The sequence below is a fragment of the Homo sapiens genome, chromosome 5 (genome assembly GCF_000001405.40).
Source record: "Homo sapiens chromosome 5, GRCh38.p14 Primary Assembly".
Classification (NCBI taxonomy): domain Eukaryota; kingdom Metazoa; phylum Chordata; class Mammalia; order Primates; family Hominidae; genus Homo; species Homo sapiens.
The window spans coordinates 178,478,750-178,503,511 of NC_000005.10; the positions used below are offsets into that span (position 1 = coordinate 178,478,750).

General features: G+C 45.8%; 1 protein-coding gene across 11 annotated transcripts in view, besides 2 other annotated features; it reads right to left on the reverse strand.

Annotated features, from left to right (window-relative positions):
- Window positions 1-24,762, reverse strand: part of COL23A1 (collagen type XXIII alpha 1 chain) — a 352,776-nt gene that overhangs the window by 241,132 nt on the left and 86,882 nt on the right. The gene's annotated exons all lie outside the window — the stretch shown is intronic.
- Window positions 23,652-24,152: an enhancer, noted in NCBI's record as "H3K4me1 hESC enhancer chr5:177929402-177929902 (GRCh37/hg19 assembly coordinates)". NCBI's record gives its function as "activates a minimal SCP1, AML or CMV promoter by ChIP-STARR-seq in naive H9 embryonic stem cells {active_cell/tissue: H9 hESC(naive)}" and the evidence as "EXISTENCE:reporter gene assay evidence [ECO:0000049][PMID:30033119]".
- Window positions 24,153-24,653: an enhancer, noted in NCBI's record as "H3K4me1 hESC enhancer chr5:177929903-177930403 (GRCh37/hg19 assembly coordinates)". NCBI's record gives its function as "activates a minimal SCP1, AML or CMV promoter by ChIP-STARR-seq in naive H9 embryonic stem cells {active_cell/tissue: H9 hESC(naive)}" and the evidence as "EXISTENCE:reporter gene assay evidence [ECO:0000049][PMID:30033119]".

Consider the following 24,762-nt stretch of genomic DNA (forward strand, 5'->3'; position numbering starts at 1 on the left):
AGCAAAGTAGCCAGGAAAGACACTGATGGGCCTTTTGAGGGTACCAGAGCCTTCTGGGTGCCCTCTTGCTTCAGAGAAGACTCTATGAGAAGACTTACCCCAGAGGATAAAGGCACAGAGATCCTGGCTCCAGAAAGGCATGCGGCACAGACTCTGCCAGAATTTCTGGATTCGGGTGCCATACTGGGCTCCAAAATGCTGTCAGTGTGAGAAGAGGAGCTACTCCTAAAAACATTGAGTTTTCTTGTCACCCTGGCTTCCTGGGCCATGTGAGGCCCAGGGAGACAGCCATGTGCCAGGGCAGCCATCTCAGTGGCCCAGGACCTTCATCAGGACACAAGGATCACCCTCATGATGATGATGATGATGATGATGACCGTGGTAATGACAACAGCCAACACTCACAGATACTTAACACCATCAGGCGCTTTATGTGCAGGATTTCCTAGAAAGCAAGTACCCTTATTCATACCCATTTTACAGCTGAAGAAATGGAGGTTCATAGGGGTAAAGCCCCCTGCCCCAAATCACACAGCTATGGAGGTCGGGAGCCAGGACCTGAACAGAGGCTCTCACTCCCACGCCTGTGCTCCTAACCACAGCAACGAAAAAAACCCCGAGCTGCTGCCCTGATGTCCCTCCTGCCTCCTCTACTGGGCAGCTTCTCTTATCACCTGCCATGGAGATGCCGGCTCACCCATGCGCCACAGCGGCCGGTGAGGCTGCTCTCCCCTCCAGGTGTCCACAGCTCTTTAATACACCCCAGGAAGACACATGGCTCCTTCAGACCAGAGTACATGGGACCCGTTCCCAGGAAGTGGCCAGAGGGAGTCTGGGAAATGCCAGGATGAGATGATACATGTTAGGGACAAGTGGAGAAATGTGAATTGGGGTTGAAATTCTGTAATATTAAGGATTCATGTTAATCTTAGGTGTGATAATGACGTTGTGGTTATGCAGGAAGGAAAAAAAAGCCCTAATCCTTGAGAGATGAACAACAAAATACTTGTAAGTGAAATATAAGGCGTCCGAATTTGCTTTAAAATATAGTCATGCCTCTCTTAATGACAGGATGCATTCTGAGAAACATGTCCTTAGGCGATTGTGTCATTGTGTGAACATCATAGAGTGAATGAACTTACACAAACCTAGATGGGGCGGCCTACTGCACACCCAGGCTGTGTGGCACAGCCCACTGCTCCTGGCTACAAACCTGTACAGCCTGTTACTGTGCTGAGTACCATAGGCAACTGAGATAAAACGGTAGGTATGTGTGTATCGAAACACAGAAAAGATACAGTAAAACGATGGTATTATAATTGTAGAGGTCCACAGGTCATATATGTGGCCCACTGTTGACCAACATGTTACTCTGTGGTGCATGATTGTACTCCAGAAAAAAAAAAAAAAGAAAATTTTTTAAATAGGTGGAGGAGATAGATGAAGCCTGATCAGGAAGTTGATGATAATTGTTGAAGCTGGGGGAGGAATCCAAAGATTATTCTCCAAACCAAACCAAACTAAAACTCTGCCTCCCTCAGACAGGTCAGGTTCCAGACCCGGACTCTGGAGGTCCTAATCCTGCTGCCCTGGATCCACCGGTCACCTCGGAGTCTTCACAGTTTCCCTCCGCAGGAGCCAGAAGGAGTTCTCAAATAGTGAAATGCTGGTGCAGGGCCCAGTCTCCCAGAGCTCCTGAACCTGGTGCACCTCCCACCCGCAAGCCCATCCCAAGATCCCACTAACACCATTGCAACCCAGTTTGAAAGCACCAGGCCTGTGAGCATTCTTTCATTATTAACAATTGAAAATGACCCCAGATATTTTTCAGCCTCCTGCTTTGCATGGCACGTCTCTGTGTTGTCTCATATGCAGTCAGCAGTGGTGTCTCCCTTATGCTGTGTTCAACAGCTCAAACCCAAAAGGAAACTTCACAGGGAAAATGAACAAGGTAAGTCAAAATGTAATGGTCACGGATAATACCTACTCTAGGTATCTAGTCAACAAGGATGCAAAAAGCCTGCTTTTCACAGGTTGGACTGTGTGAATCCATCTTTGTATAATATGTCAGGGATATCCACAGACATTCTTAACATCAACATTAAATGTGGGCTGGGCTGGCACGGTGGCTCACGGCTGTAATCCCAGCACTTTAGGAGGCTGAGGTGGGAGGATCACTTGAGGCCAGGAGTTCGAGACCAGCCTGGCCAATGTGGTGAAACCTTGTCTCTATTAAAAATACAAAAAAATTAGCTGGGCATGGTAGCACACACCTGTAATCCCAGCTACTCAGGAGGCTAAGGCATGAACATTGCTTGAACCCGGGAGGCGGAGGCTGCAGCGAGCCGAGATCGCACCACTGCACTCCAGAGACTGTCTCTCAAAAAAAAAAAAAAAAAAAGAAAGAAAGAAAATGTGACTTACAAGCTTTCCCTCAGAGTTGTGAAGGAAAGAAAAAACAATGTGACCATAATAAAAATTACTTAATATAGATCAATGACCTAAACTTAAGAGTAAAAACTATAAAACTCTTAGAAGAAAACATAGGGGAAAATTTTCATGACACTGGATTTGGCAAATAATTTCTTGGATATGACACACAGCAGAAGAAAAAACAGATAAGCTGAACATCATCAAAATTAAAAACTTTTGTGTATCAAAGGACACTACTGAGAGAGTATAAAGACAACCCAGAGAATTTGCAAGTCATATATCTGATAAGTGATTAATAACCAGAACATATAAAGAACTCTGACAACTCAATAACAAAAACAAAACAAAACAAAACAACCCAATTAAAAAATGGGCAAAGAGCTTAAATAGACATTTATACCTGGTCAAGGTATACAAATGCCCAGTAAACACGTGAAAAGATGCTCAATATTATTAGCCATTAGGGAAACGTAAATCAAAACCACAAGATACCACTTCATACCCATTAGTATAGCTATGATTAAAAAGAGGGAAAATGACAGCATGGATGAGAATTCGGGGAAGTTGGTGCATGACTGCTGGGCATTAAAAATGGTGCAGCTGCCACCTATGTTCTCAGTCATAGGTGGGAATTGAACAGTGAGAACACTTGGACACAGGATGGGGAACATCACACACCAGGCCTGTCATGGGGTCGGGGGAGGGGGGAGGGATAGCATTAGAAGATATACCTAATGTAAATGACGAGTTGATGGGTGCAGCACACCAACATGGCACATGTATACATATGTAACAAACCTGCGTGTTGTGTACATGTACCCTAAAACTTAAAGTATAATTAAAAAAAAAAAAAGGCGCAGCTGCTGTGGAAAACAATTTGGTAGTTTCTCAAAAAGTCAGACACAGAATTACTATATGATCCAGAAATTCCACTCCTAGGTATATTCCCAAAAGACACAGATAGTTTTATACCAACGTTCACAGCAGCACTATTTACAACAGCCAAAAGGTTAACAACCCAAATATCCATCAACAGATGAATAACCAATTGTGGTGTATACATACAGTGGAATATTATTCAGCCTTAAATGGGAATGAAGTTCTGATACATGCTACTAGATAGACAGATGAACCTTGAAGGTATTTTGCTAATGAGCTTTTGAAAGAAGCCAGACACAAAAGGACAGATATTTTATGATTCCTTTTATATGCAGTATCTAGAGTAGGCAAACTCATATAGACAGAAAGTAGAACGGGGGCGGGGCAAAGAGGGGATTGGGGAATTATCGTTTAATGGGTATGGAGTTTCAGTTGGGGAAGATGAAGAAAAAGGTTCTGAGATGGATGGTGGTGATGGCTGAACAACAATGTGAATGCAGTTAATGCCACTGACCTGTACTTTTAAAAATGGTTACAATAGACTTAGGCTGGCCGGGCGTGGTGGCCCACACCTGTAATCCCAGCACTCTAAGAGGCCGAGGAGGGCAGATCACGAGGTCAGGAGATCGAGACCATCCTGGCTAACATGGTGAAACCCCGTTGCTACCGTCGCTACTAAAACTACAAAAAATCGGCCGGGCGTGGTGGCGGGTGCCTGTAGTCCCAGCTATTCAGGAGGCTGAGGCAGGAGAATGGTGTGAGCCTGGGAGGCAGAGCTTGCAGTGAGCAGAGATCGCGCCACTGCACTCCTGCCTGGGCAACAGAGAGAGACTCCATCTCAAAAAAAAAAGAAAAAAGAAAAGACTTAGGCTTAGTGGTGCCTGCCTGTAGTCCCAGCTACTTGGGAGGCTAAGGCAGGAGGATTGCTTGAGCCCAAGAGGCTGAGGCTGCAGTGAGTTATGATCACACCACTGCACACCAGCCTGGGAAACAGAGTAAGACTCTGTCTCGAAAAGAAAAAGAAAAAAAAAACTAAAATGTCATATTTTATGTTATGTACATTGTGCCAAAATTTTAAAATGTGAATAGGATAAATAAGCAGGTCACTGATGACCATCTTAAGGCAATGTTATGCAGATATCTAGAGTTAAATATTTGCATGTAATTTCACACAGTTCTTCAAATGAGTCCCTTTTGAATTACTGGGGAGATAAGTATATGGAGAAGGCATTAGATGCCACATAAAACTGAGGAATTAAAAAAAAAAATCTTGAATGGTAGGAATCTTGGTGCTAGAGGCATCCCTAGAAAGACACTGTCAGAATTCCGCTCCAAGAAACAAAAGACCTCCGGGAATCCACTCGCCCTCAAGACACAGCATTTCTAGATTCTCTCTGCTCACATCTTCCCCTTCTCCTGGCTTTCCAGCACCCCAGCTGACTACAACTCAGAAGTGGGAAGGCACATGTGAAAAAATTATGAGTTCCAGTCTTTAAAAATTATTACAGTTTTAAATAATTACATAAAAATATTTACGTTTCCCGAGTCAAACCTAAAAACCACAAGGCATGTTCAGAAAAGCTTCACTTCTATTCCTAGGCATGAAGCCCTCTCCCATACTTGTTTTCTTTCCTTTTCTTTGGATTTTATTTGGGTTTCTCCCTCCAGTATTAGGTTACGGGGCCCATCTCCAATGCGGCCATCTTTACCCACAAAGCACGTGGAGCCCGTGCAGCGGGGTTCCTCTTCAAAGAAAACTGTGATGCTGTCAGCAGGAAGTGCACAAAGAAAAGGGATGTACACACTCAGCAACGCGCACTTGCTTCCTTTCACTACAGAGCACATTTTACTGGGTACCGGCTCTGTGCTAGGCAAGATTTTTTTTTTTTCTTTGAGGCAGAGTTTCACTCTCATTGCCCAGGCTGGAGTGCAATGGCATGATCTCGGCTCTCTGCAACCTCCCAGGTTCAAGCGATTCTCCTGCCTCAGTCTTCTGAGTAGCTGGGATTATATGCCACCACATCTGCCTAATTTTTGTATTTTTAGTAGAGATGGGGTTTCACCGTGTTGGCCAGGCTGGTCTTGAACTCGACCTCAGGTGATCCGCCTACCTCAGCCTCCCAAAGTGCTGGGATTACAGGTGTGAGCCACCACGCCCAACCAAGATTTTCAAAAGAAGTTTGTTTTCATTTTTTCTGTTTTGGGGATTATTCTAATGTTAAATCTATTAAAAATTAAGCAAGGCACAATGCACCAAAGAAAATTAACAGCATTTTGTTGAAAGAACGAAGATTGGGTGTCCCTCAAGGATGGCTCCGAGGTCCCCTCTCAGAAGCCCTTCTTGATTTACCCCACAGAGTTAGCTGTCCCCTCATCCTAGGATCCTCATGCAAGAGACCACTAGCAGTGACCATGGGACATTATGACTGTTTATGTGACTAGTGTGTCTGGCTCCCGAAACTGTAAGAACAGTGAGGCCGGGCCGGGCGTGGTGGCTCACGCCTGTAATCCCAGCACTTTAGGAGGCCGAGGTGGGCGGATCACGAGGTCGGGAGATTGAGACCATCCTGGCTAACACGGTGAAACCCCGTCTCTAGTAAAAATACAAAAATCAGCCAGGCGTGGTGGTGGGTGCCTGTAGTCCCAGCTGCTCAGGAGGCTGAGGCAGGAGAATGGTGTGAACCTGGGAGGTGGAGGTTGCAGTGAGCTGAGATCGCGCCACTGTACTCCAGCCTGGGTGAAAGAGCAAGACTCTGTCTCAAAAAAAAAAAAAAAAAAAAAAGAGCAGTGAGGCCAGACACAATGGTTTCTTTCTTTCTGATAAATAAAAGCCCATATTTGTAAAGAGTCCAGCATATCGGAAGTGTCCCTTAGATGTTAGGTTCTGGCCAAGGACCCCCAGTGCCTAGCAAAGTGGGCATCCAATAAATGTGGGTTGAACAGACAAATAAATTTAGAGGACTTCGCTTACGGCTCTGGCAATCTTGACCTAAAAAATTAATGAAATGTGTAAAAATGTACTCCAAAAATTCCAGCAATATGCTATTGGTTAGCTTATGCCTTTATTCCCCACCTCATTCCAACAATATGAAATTGGTGTAGTTTTGTTTGTAAAGAAATGTCAGGATAGGCAGGATGTGGTGGCTCACGCCTGTAATCCCAGCACTTTGGGAGGCCAGGAGGGCGGATCATTTGAGCTCAGGAGTTCGAGACCAGCCTGGCCAACATAGCAAAACCCTATCTCTACAAAAAATACCAGAAAAATTAGCTGGGCGTGGTGGTGTGTGCCTGTAGTCCCAGCTACTTGGCAGGCTGAGGTGGGAGGATTGTTTGAGCCCAGGAGGTTGAGGCTACCGTGACCTAGGATTGCACCACTGCACTCCAGCCTGGGTGACAAAAGTGAGACCCTGTCTCAAAAAAAAGAAAAAAGTCCGGGTGTGGTGGCTCATGCCTGTAATCCCAGCACTTTGGGAGGCCAAGGTGGGCAGACCACCTGACGTCAGGAGTTCGAGACCAGCCTGGCCAACATGGTGAAACCCTGTCTCTACTAAAAATACAAAAAAATAAAGTTAGCCAGGTGTGTTGGCATGTGCCTGTAATCCCAGCTACTCGGGAGGCTGAGAGGCAGGAGAATCACCTGAATCTGGGAGGTGGAGGTTGCAGTGAGCCGAGATCACACCATTGCACTCCAGCCTGGGTGACAGAGTGACTCCATCTCAAAAAAAAAAAAAAAAAAACACAGAAATGTCAGGATGAGTAAGCTGAGTACAGAGTAAAACTTGACATTAAGAAGAAAATCTGCCCCAGCTGAGTGGCCAGGGGAACCTCAGCTCCAGCTGTTCATTGTGTTGGGCAGCAGTGGTGGGAGGGGTGCCGGGGTGCTTTGCAGAAAAAAGAATCGCAGCTGCAAATACAAATTGCATATTCCTAGACCTTTGAAAGATAACAAAGACTTCTGCCCTCAACTGATGATGTCCTGTGTTAAAATCACTTGGCTAGGTAGTTAAAACTGTTTGAAATGACCTGGTCACTTTCTGATGTGGACGTGCAATACACATGTAAAGCTGGGTACCAGATTTGACTCTTGTAAACTTCAACCAGGTAGTTTTGAAAACACCCTAGAAGTGAACAACCTTGAATGTCCTGAAGATGTGGGAGTGTTCGACAAGATTCAGGCAGCTGCAGAATGAGGACGGTTGTCAGTGGGTGACGTGTTCAAGCTGCTCAGGCCCCTCACCGGGATGAGCAGAAAGGTCAGCATTTTCTTAGCCCAGGGAGGCTTAGTACTCTTGAGGCAAAGAAATCCTGCAGCATAAGTAAGATCCAGCGCAGAGAATACCCGAGGGTGAACCGTGATGAGAAGTCTCAGAGCGCACTGCGTAATTACCACGTGTAGAAAGCAAAACGTTGACAAGACACGGCCGTTAGCAAAAAGCCGAACGGTTACTACGCTCAACGAGAAAAGGAAACTGGGAGGGTTGAAAAAAAGAAACGAATAATTGGCAAATTCCAAGAGGCTCTTTCAGGAAGAGACAGTTGGGTGGTTTTGTGAAAGCAGAGGTGACTCTTGGACCACAAACATGAAGCCCACAGGGAGAGCCGGGTGAAAAAGGAAGGACAGAAGCTAAACAGCCAAAGAAAACCCAAAGCGTACTTCAGACATGCCAAGGCCAAGAGGCTCTGTATCTAAAAAGGAGCCCAAGTGAGTAGGACCAGTTGGAAGGCACACTTAAGAGTGTAAGCAAGACTCACAGGAACCTACTGTGTCTCGCCTTGGACTTCAAGCTGATGCTAAGATGGCGTTTCACACCCTGAGTGGGGAAACGAAGGAAACTGACGGGGGTGCTGAAATTAAACATCCCTCCTCTGGACCTCCAGGCTGCACCCCACCCTCGGCCACATCAATGGCACAGGACTTAAAACTGGACGCTCTCTATCCACTGGTAGCTCATGCATTCCAGAATCAACCTACACAGATCATGCTCCTCCCTCAGTGCCTGAGAGTTCTGCACAGGACGCTCTCAGAATCTAGAGGCTCCAGGCTGGGGCCAGGTCCAAGTCCCAGTTGACACCTCAGTGCCTGAGTGTTCTGCACAGGACGCTCTCAGAATCTAGAGGCTCCAGGCTGGGGCCAGGTCCAAGTCCCAGTTGACACACTATCTCCAGCCCAGGCCAGGGCTTCCCTGGTAAATCAATCTCTGAAGGCAGTCATGGTACCAGCCTCAGTTTTATTTATTTATTTATTTATTTATTTATTTATTTATTTATTTATTTAGAGAAGGAGTTTCGCTCTTGTTGCCCAGGCTGGAGTACAGTGGTGTGATCGCAGCTCACTGCAACCTCTGCCTCTTGGGTTCAAGCGATTCTCCTGCCTCAGCCTCCTGAGTAGCTGAGATTACAGGCGTGCAACCACCATGCTCAGCTAATTTTTGTATCAGCCTCAGTATTATTTTAAAGGAACTTAAAATGGTTAAACTTTAAAATGGGGTGAAATGAGGCAGTCCCCAGGATGGCCAGACATTTATGGGGCTGTAAGGTTCCCAATGTGATGCCTGTCCGGGGAATGACTCCGGAGAGTCCTGGGACCCAACTGCCACAGCGTCTCCTATCTCTCCTGGGAAAACTGGGAGGATGGATAAGTGACAGTGGAGGCAGAGAAACTTCAGTTTAGCTGCTCAGCATTTTCCCTAACTCACTCATGATAACTACATACCCAGTTCCATCCTAACTCGGAACAGCCAGATCCCACTGAAAACCCTGGGTCACTGGAACAGGAAGACAAGAGCCACATTTGAAACTGCCTCTGCTCTAGGTCATCAGCTTTCTCTAATTTGGTGTCCCTGCCCCATCAGCTCTGTGCAGAAGAGCACATTGTGGCTGGGGGTTAAGAACAAATAAGACAGTGCTGGCTGTGAGACCCTGGCTGGGTTACTTAACCTCCTTGAAACTGCAGAACAAGGATATGAAGGCATGACTTCACTGGGCTACTGTGAGAATGATGAGAATAATGCATTAAGCCCACGGCAGGGTGCCTGGCACACACGGAGCACTCCGGGGAGCTATTGTTCTCACTCCTCATTAGAAGGGACAAACCTGAGATGAAGCTCTTATTTGGCAAGGTCTGGGTGATCTGGTGCACTCAGGCCTCTCAATTTATATGAAAAGTCAGAATTCAATTAAGGGAAGATGACATAAACCCAAGAAAAGCCTGCTAGAGATTTGCCCAGGAATAGCCCTCTCCCCTGTCACCTGCCTGATGGGGAGCTGCTGAATTTTCACAGCATCATCCTCAAGGCTCTCACAGATCAGAGCAGAATCCCTGACCCCAGACCCGGAATCTCTAAATTTGCGTGTGACCTCCTCTCCCTTTGTGGCACATGAAGATTTCTAGTGATCTCTCCAGGCAGAATACAGTATTCCTTCCTTTCCCTCACCGCCACCGCCATCAGACGCCAATTATATTCAATGTTTTCCTTAAAATGCAACATGAGACCTATCGTTGAAGTCTTGCACCAATTTTCTCTTCTTATCCCCAAACTCAGATTTGCACAGCAGGCCGCCACTTTATAGACAAAACGGTGCGTGGAGTTTGAAGCACACATATATGCCTATGACTCTTTAAAAAAAAAAAAAACGCTTTGAGGTATGATTGACATGAACAACTGTACATATTTAATGTATACATTCAATGAATGTAAATTCAAGGAGGCACCAGACGAGAGTTCTGGAGCTCCGTGAGGGTAGCTAAGGAAGCAAATGGGATGGGCTCTGCCAGGCTTAGGAAGGAAGAGGTGGTGTCTGAGCACTCACCTGGACTTCTGCAAGGTCAGCAAACACAGGAGCAGTCGCTGAGCAGCGGTGCAAACACACCAGCTCTCCAACGGGTGCTTCACTGCACTTCCCTGCAGAGACCATTCTAAACCAAACTCAGCGCCTGGGAAGGCTCTGCCCCTCAGGATCTGCCCCTCATCCTTGTGGCCTATTGCTGTCGACCTGACTGGATGGAGGGGTCCCTAGATGGCTGGTGTGTCTGTGAGGGTGTTTCCAGGGGAGATGGCATGGAGGTCAGTGGGCTGAGAGGGGAAGATCTGCCCTCAATGTGGGTGGGCACCACCCAACGGCTGGGGGCCCAGTAGGGACAAAGCAGACAGAAGGGGAACATTCAGCTCCCTCTTGCTTCCCCTCCCTTCTGGAGGGAGACACTTTTTCTCCTCCTGCCCTTGGACATCAGGCTTCAGGTCCTTCTGCCTTTGGACTCTGCAACCCCCTGGGGGCTCTCAGACCTTCAGCCTCAGACTAGGGGCTGCACTGTCGGCTCCCCTGGTTCTGAGGCGTTCAGACTTGGACTGAGCCACGTTACCGGCTCCTCTGGTTCTGCGGCTTGTAAACAGCCTGTCATGGGACTTTGCCTTCGCAACCATGTGAGTCAATTCTTCCCAATAAATTCTCTTTCACATGTATCCTGTTGGCTCAGTCCCTCTGGAGCACCCAGACAACTACAGCACAGGAAGCAGTTCATCACAGACTGGGGCTGGGGGAGAGGCAGGAATAAAGGCTGCGGACTGTCAAAGATACCCAGAGAGGGGCTAGGAAGTCGGGAGGGTGGGAGGTGCAGCAGATGCAGCCACCGGGCACCAAACTGCAGCAAGGTCTCTGACCCCAGCTTCTTGCACCTCACCACGGGATGCAGCAATTCCGCTCCTCGATACAGACCCAGAGGCCATGAAAGCTGGGACTTGAACAGGTATTTGCATACTCATGTTCCTAACAGCACTATTTACAATACCCAAGAGGTAGAAAGGACCAAAATATCCATCAACAGATGAATGGATAAGCAGTTTGTGACTATCCAGACAAGAGAAGATCACTTAGCCTTAAAAAAGGTAGGGTGGCTGGGTGTGGTGGTTCACTCCTGTAATCCCAGCACTTTGGGAGGCCGAGGCGGGCGGATCACCTGAGGTCAGGAGTTTGAGACCAGCCTGGCCAAAATGGTGAAACCCTGTCTCTACTAAAAATACAAAAAAGTTAGCTGGGTGTGGTGGTGGGCGCCTGTACTCAGGAGGCTGAGGCAGAAGAATCGCTTGAACCTGGGAGGCAGAGGTTGCAGTAAGCCGAGATCACACAACTGCACTCTAGCCTGGGCAACAAGAGTGAAATTCCATCTCAAAAAAAACAAAAAACAAAAAACAAAAAATGAGAGAGAGAGAAAAGGAAGGGGATTCTCACACATGCTACTCCATGGAGAAACTTTGAGGATATTAAGCTAAGTGAAATAAGCCACACAAAAAGGATAAATACCGTAGAATTCCACTGAGAAGAGGTATCTAGAATGGACAGATTTACAGAGGCAGAAGTAGAATAGAGGTTACCGGTGCTGAAGGGAGGACGCGTGGGAAGTTGCGTTTAATGGGTACAGAGTTTCAGTTGCGGAAGATGAAAATGTTCTGGAGAAGGATGGTGGTGATGGCTGCACAATACTGTGACTGTACTTAATGCCACTGAGCTGTACACATAAAAGTGGTTTAAACTTGGGCAACATAGTGAAAAAAAAAAATCTTTAAAAAAATTAGCCAGATGTGGTGGTGTGCACCTGAAGTCCCAGCTACTAGGGAGGCTGAGGCCGGAGAACTGCTTCGGCCTGGGAGTTTGAGACTGCAGTGAGCTATCACTGTGCCACCGTACTCCAGCCTGGGTGACACAGCGAGACCCTGTCTCAAAAGAAAAAAAGATTTAAATGGTAAATTTTATGTTATGTATGTTTTACCACAGTAAAAAATGCATATAAAAAACTGATAGAACTGGATACCTAAAAAGAGTGAATTTTACTGCATGTAAATTATACCTCGAGGAGCTTGACTTTAAAACAACCTCTATCTTCAGGGAAAAGTTATAATTCATTCTTTCTTTATTCTATTCCACTAGGCTTGTCTGCTTGAGGGGAGTGGGGAGAGACAGCGAGAGACAAAGAAAGCTAAGAGAGAAGAGAGAGGAGAGAGAGAGAAAAAGAGGAAAGAAGGAGAAGAGAGAAGAGAGAGGAGGGGGGAAAGAGAGAGGAGACACGGAGGAGAGGAGACAAAGAGATAGGAGGAGAAGAGAGAGAAAGGGAAAGAGAGAGAAGAGAACGAGGAGGGGGGAGATTACTAAAGGACAGTGTGTTGTTCCCAGAACTCAAGACCTGCCCCTCATCCTCGTGGCCATCTCCTCTCTTCTCCAGCCTCTCCTAATTACACGGTCTAAGCTGGTGACCCCAAGAGGACGACAGTTCTCCTTCTGTCCTCCATTACGAACTGCCTGAGAAGGACAGCCCCTCCCACGTGAGCTCACTCCCAGGACAATTAGCCTTGACTTGGTGGCAGTCAGCAGCACAGACATGACTTTCTGCAGAGGAAGGGAACTGTGCACGGTGGAGCCACCCACTGCCTACAGACAACGGCTAAACCCTCAGAACTACATTTAAGGATCCTCAAAATCTGGCCCAAAAGCTTCTGTGTAAACCAAGGATGAAAACTGAAATGTGGGTGGGTCATAACAGGGTGTGGCCTGGGACAGGAGCACAAGCAGAGAGCGGACCACAGAGCCTGGGGCAAGGGAGATTCCACGTCCCCTCGAAAGGTGTTCTGGTGAAAATGAAACATCTTGATTTTTTTTTCAATTTTTTAATTCATTTATATTTTAATTAATTAATTATTTTGAGAGAGAGTCTCACTCTGTCACCCAGGCTGGAGTGCAGTGGTGCCATCTTGGCTCATAGCAACCTCCGCCTCCCGGGTTCAAGCAATTCTCCTGCCTCAGCCTCCGGAGTAGCTGGGATTACAGGCACCTGCCACCACGTCCAGCTCATTTTTGTATTTTTAGTGGAGACGGGGTTTCACCATGTTGGCCAGGCTGGTCTTGAACTCCTGACCTCAGGTGATCCACCTGCCTCGGCCCCCCAAAGTACTGGGATTACAGGCATGAGCCACCACACCAGGCCAATTATTCAATTTTTAAATATTCAATTCAATTAATACAAATCGAATTTAATATTCTATTCAAATAATTTTGAATTGAAGAAGCATTGAAATTGTATTCAATATTACTAGAGAAAAGTGCTCAATATTATTATTTTTGAATAAAAATACTTGAATCAGTAAAAATAACTATTATTTGGCCATGTTATGAACTGTATTGTGTCCCCCCAAAATTTATATGCTGAAGTCTTAATCCCCAGTACCTCTGTTTAAAGAGGGAGTTCAGGTCAAAGGAGGGAGTATGGGCAGCGCCTACCCCAACGGGACCAGTGTCCTCCTGAGAAGAGAATGTTAGGACTCAGACACACACAGAGGGAAGGCCGTGTGAGGACGCAGGGAAGGCAGCCGTCTACGAGCCAGGAGAGAGGCCTCAAAATGAAACCAACCCTGCCAACACCTTGATCCTGGACTTCCAGCCTTGAGACTATGAGACAATACATTTCTGCTGTTTGAGCTGTGCAGTCTGTGGTATTTGTTATGGCAGCTCAAGCAAAGAAATCCAGGCCATACAAAGGAATGAAGCGCTGCAGTGATCCATGCCACAACGCAAATGCACCTCGAGGATGTTACACGAAGTGAAGGAGGCCAGGCAAGAAGGCCACATCTCGTATGACTCCACGTACACGAAATGTCCAGAACAGGCCAGTGTCCATCACCTGTTCCCATAGAGGCCCCACCTCACAACAGAGGCTCCTGAGAGGTGTCTGGCCTGGGCACTGGGAGCACAGATCCAGAGCCAGGCTCTCTGTAGTAGAATGCCAGCTCCATAGTTTCTAATCCCAGGACGCTGGTTAAGTGGCTGAACTTCTCTGTGCCTCAGTTCCTTGTCCGTGAAATGCGGGTAATGACAGCACTTACCTCACAGGGTATGGAAAGGACTAAATGACTTCATTCTAGAAAGTGCCTGGCCCTTGGTAAGCTGCTCTTAAGTGTGATCTGTTAAGGAAAGCTTTAGTTGTTGGTTGACTGTTGGTCTCTCACCCTTTAAATAGAAATTCCTTGAGCACAGGGACTCTGACTAGCTATTCCTGTTCTCCAGCATCAGGCACTGAATGAGTGAGATTCTGGTCCTCGCTGTGAGGGAAAGGAGGTGATCTCCAGGCACCCTCAGCTCCCATCTTCTGTGGATCTGGGAGCCCAGGACACATAGAAATCTCTTCCCCAGGCCATACACCATTCCTTATCTATCTGTGGGCCCAGCCCACACTGAACCTCAGTCCACACTGAACCCTGCTCCACGAGGCACGGAGTTCACCAGGCCTCCAACTTGCCTTGCAAAGGACTCATGCTTTGTAGTGGCCTCAGGGCTATTCCAATGTAGGAAACAGGTAGGGTCAAGGGTGCCGCTGGCAAGTAGGACCTACCCTATGGTGCCTTGCAGGCCTCCATCCACGTGGGCCACCCAGCCTCATTCACAGAGTTCTCCAGGTCAGCCACCTGCCCTACTCTGCACATGACACTCACACCAGCATTAACTCATTTTTGCAGGAGTAACCTCTGAAGACCAGCCCTCAAGTTTCAAGGCCCTGCCAGCCGCTCTGGCCATCTCCACACCTCCAAGGTTCCAGAGAGGAAAGTTCAAGGAAAGAGTTTTCTCTGTTGGCCCATTCAGGCCCGGGTAGGCCAGAGGTGGCCAGCAGACCTGACATCTGGAAATACAGTGGCTGCACGCAAAAGATTACAGGCCTTTCCAAAGCAAAGCTGCCGAACCCCTCGGGGACCATCTTCCTGGGCTGATGCACTGAGGACCCCTGGCCCTTGGCAGGGTCTTCTGCAGGGGAAACTAAATCCCACCAGCAAATGTCAATGCATGCAATCGTGACAGGCCACAAGTCACTGCCAATCCAAAACCTACTCTTTCACAAATCCCAGAACAGACTTTTATTAGGTATGAGCCACTAGCGTGAATGTAGCTGCCACTACTTAAGAAATTGGAATTTAAGCCCCTCTCTCCTGTATGTGGGAACATGAAGGTTTGTTTTGGCATTCAGATCTGTTTCCAATCCAACTGTTAGAAAAATCACATTAGGCAGGGGTGAACATTATACGGGAGTGTGGATCACATCTTGTTTTGCAATACCCCACAGTGTCTCACTTATATCAAGAGGAGGCTGTGAAAATCTTACAACATTCCTCTGAAAAATGAGCTTTCATTCTCCGACAAGGACATGTGAGATTTTGGTTCAGGAGACACTTGGAGAGACGACCAAGCCAGACAGCACACAGCCCTTCCTAGGAGAGATGGGAAGGTGAGCAGAGACTGGCCCAATAGCAGCAGGTCACATGCCATGAACGTGATGTGTTGGGAGGATGGGGGTTGCTCCCCACAGGGACACCTCTGCATCAAAAGTGCTGGGTAATTTGGGAGGCCGAGGCAGGCGGATCACCTGAGGTCAGGAGTTCGAGACCAGCCTGGCCAACATGGTGAAACCCTGTCTTTACTAAAAATGCAAAGTAGCCTGGCGTGGTGGCACGTGCCTGTAATCCCAGCTACCTGGGAGGCTGAGGCAGAAGAATCACTGGAACCCGGGAGGTGGAGGCTGCACTGAGCCGAGATTGCACCATTGCACTCCAGCCTGGGCGACATCCATCTCAAACAAAAGAGTGCTGGGTGAGAGGTGACTTGCTGCCTGGTTCCCCAAACAAGAAGGCTCTGCTCCCCGGTACATCCCTAACACCTTCAAACAGCCCCTTTCCACCTCATCCAGTATTTAGCAGCCCTCCTCTGTTAGTCACAGCAGTTGCCCTCCTGAGCCAGGCTTTGGAAGACCCCTGACATCGAGGTGGGCCACAGGGAACAATGACATTTTCCCACCTGCACCAGCACACGCACATCTGCCTCTGGGTCCCGGAACGCCCAGAGACACATGTGGATGGCATCAAATGGTAGGTGAGGGTACAGAGTTTTCAGCCCCAATAATGACATGCCCATAGTCAGATGTGGGTCTCGCAAAGCTGGGGTCACCAGAGACACTGCCAGTGTCTGGGACCAGCCTCCTCCTGGGCCTGCAGGTTGAGGTTTGCCCAGGACCCTGGCACTCAGTCTCCATGTGGGTAGTTGTTAGACATCAGCCTGCCGCCAGGCATGAAGCTGTGCTCCCTGCACTGCAGGCTCCCTGCACCCCGCCCATCAGCAGCAGGGCTCCCGGTGTGGCTGAGATGTCAGAGGCACCCTCTGCACAGCCTGAGATGGGACTAGTGAGGCCATGATGAACTGTAATTCAGAGAGGATGAATTTGGGTTACAGAGGTTAATATTCTGCTCATGGTGAGAATCATAAGTGATCAAAGTCAAGGGCATAGAGGATGGTCTGACATAGCCCCAGACCTGAGGCCAATCGTGAACTTCAGTGAGGGAAAGACCCAGAGGCACTACTGGAATGAATGAATTAATGAATGAATGTAAGAACATTTAAACTTAACAGCCCGAATCCTCTGGAGAGATGCTAGATGCCACTCTGAGATGGGGGAGAAGGGTGGGGAGTTGACTGTAGGGCACCAATGCATGGAAAACAGACTGGGAAGGAATTTGCTAGCCTCAGATTATGAGGGAGGCTAGAACCATAGGGATGGAAGAAGCTGGTCAAGGAGAGTGGGAAGGGGGAGGAAGGAGAGAGGGCACGGGGACCAAGAAACAGCAAGCTGCAATATGAAAATAGTGGGGGCTGAGCTAGAGAGGCTCAGGAGACAGGGTAAGTAAAAGATGGGAAGGAATCCCCATAGCATTGACAATGGTTAACATCTGTGAATGCTTTCTAGCCGTTCCAAGCACCTTCCCTATATTGAGTCTTTTAGTCCTCATGACAACTTTGGGCAATAGACACTATTACTTTTCCTATTTTTCAGATGAGAAAACTACAGCCCAGAGAGGGAAGTAACTTTGCTGAAATAAGTAAGTCTATGGTAAGTGGCAGAGAGATACGAACCAGGCAGTCGAGCTCCAAACCCATGTTCTTAAGTGCTTCATTTCACCCCTTTGGTCAGAAGGGATAGTCAATAACTGAATCAACGCATGGGACAGGGTAGGAGGCAGGATTCTCACTGAACGAGCTTGTCCAGGGTACCTGAGTGCTGCCATCCATAATATGAGGGATTAAAATACCGACCCCCTTTCACCTGCTGGGAACAGAATGTGTGTTAGTATACTCTCAACTCTCTGGGGAAATGTCTTAGTATATACACGGTTTAGTTTTTAATCTTAAACAAGATGAGGCCCCGAAGCCACTCACTCTGCCCCTGCTCCACAATGAAGGGAAAGGGAGGTAAATGGAGACTCCAGTTCAGAACAGTCTGGACACAGCTGCCCATGAGAAAGAAGGGCAGAGAAAGGAATGCCTTCTTGTTCTACGGGAAGCCACGCTCACTTACTCATGTCTTAGGGATGAAGCTTCAGAAGTTGTAGCCGGACTAATTTGCATAAATATTTCAGATTAATCTTTTTTGATATTTTAAGAATACATGGGAAGAAAATGTAAATGTAAAATATTTATAAACTTTAACTTATTTTACTTATAACTTGCCTCTTCCCATAAAAGAGCTATTTAGGTAGATATGCTATAAATGTTACTATAGACATACAAGTAGAAATCATGACTATGACAAAGAGGAGGAAGCCCATTCTAAGGACTAAACAAGCCAATATGATTTGGCATCTGTTTTTAATCAATGACTGCTTCCTGGCAGCTTGGGCAAAAAGGGAAATAAGATGTATTACAAAGCTCTTGCCATAGACAGAGGAAGTAGGCTAATCCCTCTGGCAAAACAAAGCTTTTCCTGGCACTCAATTCTGAAAGAAATTTCTCATGTGAAATCTTACATAAAAAACACAGTGACTAATAGCCTTCTGAAACATGGGAGCGTGAGACCTGATTTTTAAGGCCCAGTGGCTTCATTGGGCCTCTCTGAGAGGATCCTTGTCCTCCTGAGACACATTGTCTTAAGCTCCTAGAATTCCATTTGGTTTCCTGGCTGAGGACTGAAAAATCTCATCTCAGAACTCTACGTCTGGTATAATGGCTGTCACGGTGTTCTGTGGATAGGAAACACTCTTTGAGTCAGTACTGCTACCAAAAGAAGCAAATGGTTTGTCAAGGATCCCACCCACTACATAGAAAACAAAACCATGAGCTGTGCAGTGCCAGAGCAGCAAGGAACCTGAGGAGCCACGCGGTCCTAATGGCAACAGAGGCATCGCTATCAGGACACAGAGCCTCAAGTCAACAGCAAAGGAAACTGGGCTGGAATGTCCAGCTTTGCTGCATCAAGATCCTCAGAAATGGCTCATATAGTTCCACAGCAGTGTATCCCCAGGGCTGCTGGCCGTTGGAGAAGCAAATCTGACCTGGAGGAAAAATTCTCCAATTTAGAGTAAGGAGTCCCACAAATGATGGTCAAGCAATGAGCTCATAATCAAAGATTAACGTGGAAGAAGGCAAGGCCCTGTGGATGAGAGTCAGGAGAAACAAGAAGCAACAAAGATGTCTCTCCTCCATACCGAAATGACCAGAAATGGAATTACAGAACAGCTACACATAAAATGTTTACAGAAACATGTAATCACAAAGATAAGGAAACAAGAAGAGACTACGAGGACTGAGTAAGAAGTTTTGGGGGAAATGTAGCATCTATACACAAAAAGTATAATGGTTGAAATAAAAACATTTAATGGGTGAGTTAAATAGGAGATTAGATAAAGCTGAAGAATTAATGAACTGGAACATATATCAAATATATTACCAAGAATGCAATTTTATTAAGACATAATGTGGAAAATAAAAATGACATATGAAGAACAGAATGAGTCCCAAAAAGAAAGAATAAAAAAATTGGAGAAAAGGCATATTTAAAAGAGAATATATATAAATTTCCTATGACCAAGTTGAAGAAAAAGAATAAATTCACAACTCTAGGAAGCAAAACATCTGAAACAGGATAAATAAAAAGAAATCAACACCTATGTACAACAACAGTACCCAACATCAAGACAAAGAAAAGATCTTAAAAGTATTTATAGACTCTGGGTGCGGTGGCTCACACCAATAATCCCAGCAGTTTGGGAGGCCAAGGTGAGAGATCATTTGAGCTTAGGAGTTCGAGACCAGCCTGGCAACATGGCGAGACCCTGTCTTTATTTAAATATATATATATATATATATATATATATATATATATATATATATATATATATAAAAGAACTTAAAAATAAAAAAATAAAAATAAAAAATTAAAGAAACACATTTTACCTTTAAAGGCATGACTATTAGAATGACAACAGATTTATCAACACAAATACTAGAAGCCAGCAAATGGTAGAATATCCTCCGAGTGTTGAAAAAAAAGTATCTGACAGCCTAAAATTATGTGTCCAGTAAAACTAACAATTAGGCTTTGTGCATCTTACTATTTATTAAGTTTACTTCAATAAAAAATGAGAAAAATAGTAGAGTGTGTGTATTACAACTGATAGAAACAAATGAAAAGAAGGGAATATAAACACAAAATAAGATCATTATAAAGGTGAGAACTAGATAAGCCTAGAAAAAGTGAGACAATTGGAAATATTTTTAAAATATTTTTAAGTCCGAATAAATCAATAAATACTACATATCTAAGTAGAGTAAAATTATTAGGTAAAAGAAACAGATTGACAATTGGATGATTAAAAAATCCAACTATGTACTGTTTACAGGAGACATGCCTAACGCATAAAGGACATAGACATATTAAAAGCAAAAAGTGGCTGGGCACTGTGGCTCACACCTGTAATTCCAGCACTTTGGGAGGCTGAGGCGAGTGGATCACCTGAGGTCAGGAGTTCAAGACCATCCTGGCCAACGGTGAAACCCCATCTCTTCTAAAAAAAAAAAAAAATTAATCAGACATGGTGGTCCTTGCCTGTAATCCCAGCTACTCAGGAGGATGAGGCAGGAGAATTGTTTGAACCTGGGAGGCGGAGGTTGCAGTGAGCTGAGATCATGCCACTGCACTCCAGCCTCAGTGACAGAGTGAGATTCCATCTCAAAAATATAAATAAATAAAATAAAAGCAAAAAGCTTTAAAAACACATCTGACTAATATCAGCCAAAAAAGGAAAGAAAACAGAAAAAACACCCACACATAAAACCCCACAAAAATATCAACACTCTCAGAGAGATTTTTTAAACGCGCCTATGAAACCGGACATGGTGCTATTTTAAAAATTAGAGGATGAAAGAGATCTCGCTGCCTGAAAAGGAGGAGAAGGGAGGGATAATTTTACAGCGGAAAAATCAGACACACGTTGCCCCACCAGATGACTCAAGCTCAACATCAGCAGCGATGTCACGCTGATCTTACGTGCCTTGATACACTGTGATGAGGATACTTCACCTCTGTGACCCTCCTCCTACATCTCCATCAGCCCAGTTCAACCATGAGAAAAACATCAAACAAACCCAAGTTCAGGAACATTCTACAAAATACCTGACCAGTACTCCTCAAAACTGTCAAGGTCATCAAAAACAAAGTCTGAGAATTTATCACAGCTAAGAGGAACCCAGGAAGATATGACCACGACTGTAACGTGGCATCACACAAACTGTCATGTCAGTCTCTTAAAAAGTTAATCGTATACCTAATAAATGATCAACCATTTGACTCCAAGGAAATGAAAGCATGTGTTCATACAGAGACTGGTCCAAGAATGTTCCTAGCAGCCTTCTTTGTAATAGATAAAAAACTGGCAACAATCCACATATCTATCAATTAGCAAAAGGATAAACAAATTGTGTTAGAGACATGCAATAGAATAGTACTTGACAATAAAAAAGAACAAATTATTTATAAATGCTACACCATGGGTGAATCTTGATATAATTACGCTGAATGAAAGAAACCATATCAAGCAAAATGGTCCATACTGTATGATTACAGTTACATAGACTTCTTGGAAGCCCATAATAAGTTATAGTAACAGAAAGTTGGTAAGTGGTCACCTGGGAATGGAGAGAGGGTGGGGAGGTACAGGGAGGAAGGATTACAAAGAGGCAGGAGGCAGAGCTTACTCTGTGGAGAAGCAAAAAATAAAACGAAGAGGCAGGAAGGAACTTTTAGGGTGATGTATATGTTTATTTTCTTTACTGTAGTGATGGTTTCATGAGTGTATGTATACATATATGTCAAACTTACCAAACTGTACACTTTAAATGTTAATTTTCCATTATATTTCAATGAGACTGTTTAAAAATATGAAATTGAGGCTGAGTGTGGTAGCTTGGGCCTATAATCTCAACACTTTGGGAAGCCGAGGCGGGAGGGTCACTTAAGGCCAGGAGTTGGAGACCAGCTTAGGCAACAAAGCAAGACCCCATCTCTACAAAAAAAAAAAAAAAAAAAAAATGGTTTTAATTAGCCGAGTACTGTGGTGCCTGCCTCTAGTCCCAACTACTTGAGAGGCTGAGGTGGGAGAATCACTTGAGCCCAGGAGTTCGAGGTAGTAGTGAGCCATGATTGCACCACTGTACTCTAGGCTGGGAGGAAGAGCAAGAACCTGTCTCAAAAAACAAACCAAAACAAAAAACAACAAAACCCAGAAAAAGAAAAAAAAAAAAAAGAAATTGGATCCCTACCCCATAACATACACCAAAATCAATTCCAGGTAGATAAACAACTTAAATGTGAAAAGCAAAAACATTAAAATTTTTAGAAGAAATTATGAGAGATTCTCTCTCTAAACTTGGAGTAAGAAAATGTTCCTTAAACAAGAAACAAAAAGCACTAACCCTAAAATGAAAAAACAAACAAAAGACAGATAAGTGCAACTAGATTAAAATCAAGAACATCTGTCAAAACAGATGTCAAAAATACAATGAAGAAAGTCACAAACTGCGAAATATTTTCAATAGGTGTAACATGACTTCTCGACTAAGGATTAGTATTCACAATACATAAAGAACTCTTACAAGTCAATAGGGCCCAGTTTCTAGGTAGATGGAGTAGATATAGTTTTCCCTGTTTCTCCCACTATGCACAAATAAAAGCCCAGGGCATTATCTATAAAATATGCATATAAAAATGTAAGAAGACTCTTACCATGAAGAGAAGACAGGCCAACTAGGGACCTTGGGACCCAAGGAATGATACAGCAGTCAGTTTTCTGGCTTTTCTTTTTACCTCATATTTCCCAGACTTGGAGCTGAGGAAATGAGTAACCTGGAAACACTAAAAGGCACAGACCAAAAAAAGCCCCAACAGGCCGGGCACAGTGGCTCACGCCTGTAATCCCAGCACTTTGGGAGGCCTGGGTGGGTGAATCACCTGAGGTCAGGAGTTCGAGACCAGCCTGGTCAACATGATGAAATGTCTCTACTAAAAATACAAAAAATTAGCCAGGCATGGTGGCGGGCGTCTGCAGTCCCAGCTACTCGGGAGGCTGAGGCAGAAGAATCGCTTAGAGCCCGGGAGGTTGCAGTGAGCCAGATTGTGCCACTGCACTCCAGCCTGGGTGACAGAGAAAGGCTCTGTCTCAAAAAAAAAAAAAAAGTCCCAGCAAAAGCCTGCTCTTTCTAGCCAAAGGACCAGGGAAGGGGCATCCTGGTATGATAGAGGGCATTAGGCAACTGCCACTCTAGTCCCTCAAGAGGCTGTGCTGAGGTACGCCAACACCCCTGCTGGGGTAGCCTCAGACAAGGTTAAGTAGGGAGCTGGGCCTTCATGTGAGCAGGCCAGTGACAAGGCCCCACCTGGGGCACCACTGGAGACCAGGAACTCCCACCCAGCCAGCCCAGCACTAATCAGGGCCCTGCCTTGGGTGTCAGCAGAGGCCTTGCGGGGAGCCTGGACTTCCACCTCCACCCGCAGTGGGCGGCACCCACCCTTCCCCTACAGGGCCGTGTCAGGGAAGGACGGCTAAAACAGAAGGGCACTAAGAAGGTGTCAATAGGACAAAGACCGACAATCTGATAGGGAATAGGCAAAATACAAGCATAGAAAAGAAGATAAGAATCACGCTACCTTCTTAAGCTGCTTCCATGATCAATGATCTGTACTTAAAATCATTTTCACATATGGTAAGTAGCAAACAAGAGGTGGTATTCTTTCTTGAGATGGAGTCTCGCTCTGTCGCCCAGGCTGGAGTGCAGTGGCGTGATCTCGGCCCACTGCAAGCTCTGCCTCCCAGGTTCACGCCATTCTCCTGCCTCAGCCTCCCTAGCAGCTGGGACTACAGGCGCCCGCCACCACGCCCGGCTAATTTTTTGTATTTTTAGTAGAGACGGGGTTTCACCATGTTAGCCAGGATGGTCTCGATCTTCTGACCTTGTGATCTGCCCGCCTCGGCCTCCCAAAGTGCTGGGATTACAGGCGTGAGCCACTGCGCCCAGCCAACAAGAGTTGGTATTCTTATTTCTGCTTCACAGGATGTGACACACATACACTCTAAACACATGGAAAGATCCTCAGTGTCCTTAGTAATCAGAGAAACTCTTGTGGTTTGGATTAACCACAAAGAGACAATAATTCATAGGCCATTTACACACTAGATTGTCATGAAAGTAAGAAGTTCATCCACATCAAGTGCTGGAGAGGATGTGGAGCAACAGGAAGTCTTGTTCACTGCAAATGAACGTTAGGATGTTTGGAAAACATTTTGGAATCATATTGAAAAGCTGAACATTCACATAGTTGACGGTCCAGCAACGCCACTTCTGGGCATGAACCCTAAGGAAACTCTCACACACGCCAGAAGACGTGCACAGAGACGTTCCCGGCAGCACTGTTTACTGTAACAAAAAACTGGAAATACCCGAAGTCCACCATCACGCCCACACGCCCCTGAACCGCAGCACACGCTGCACGCAGTGTGACAGCACAGCACCAGGACTGAATGAGTGACAGCTCCCGACCACCAGCAGCACGGGCCAACCCCACACACGATGCCAGTCACAGACGAGCACAGTCAGGAACGTTAGAAAAACCCAGAACAATGAGCTTTCTATTTTATAAAAAGGAGAGAAAGTGGAGGAAAGATAAATTCTTTAAAAACGTCAATGCTGGCCAGACACAGTGGCTCACGCCTGTAATCCCAGCACTTTGGGAGGCCGAGGCGGGTGGATCACCTGAGGTCAGAGTTCAAGACCATCCTGGCCAACATGGTGAAACTCCACGTCTGCTAAAAATACAAGAATTAGCCAAGCGTGGTGGCTGAGATAAGAGAATCACTTGAACTTGGGAGGTGGAGGTTAAAGTGAGCCGAGATTGCACCACTGCACTCCAGCCTGGGCAACGAACAGACTCTGTCTCCAAAAAAAAACAAAAGTCAATGATGTAAAAGACAAAGACAGTCTGTGAAAATGCTCCTACAGATTTAGGCAGTGCTGAGGACATATCACTGGCTCCTGTATTGCAGGCAGAAAATGCTACAAAACGGCATAATTAGGTCAATTCACTAAAGTTAGTGACCTTAA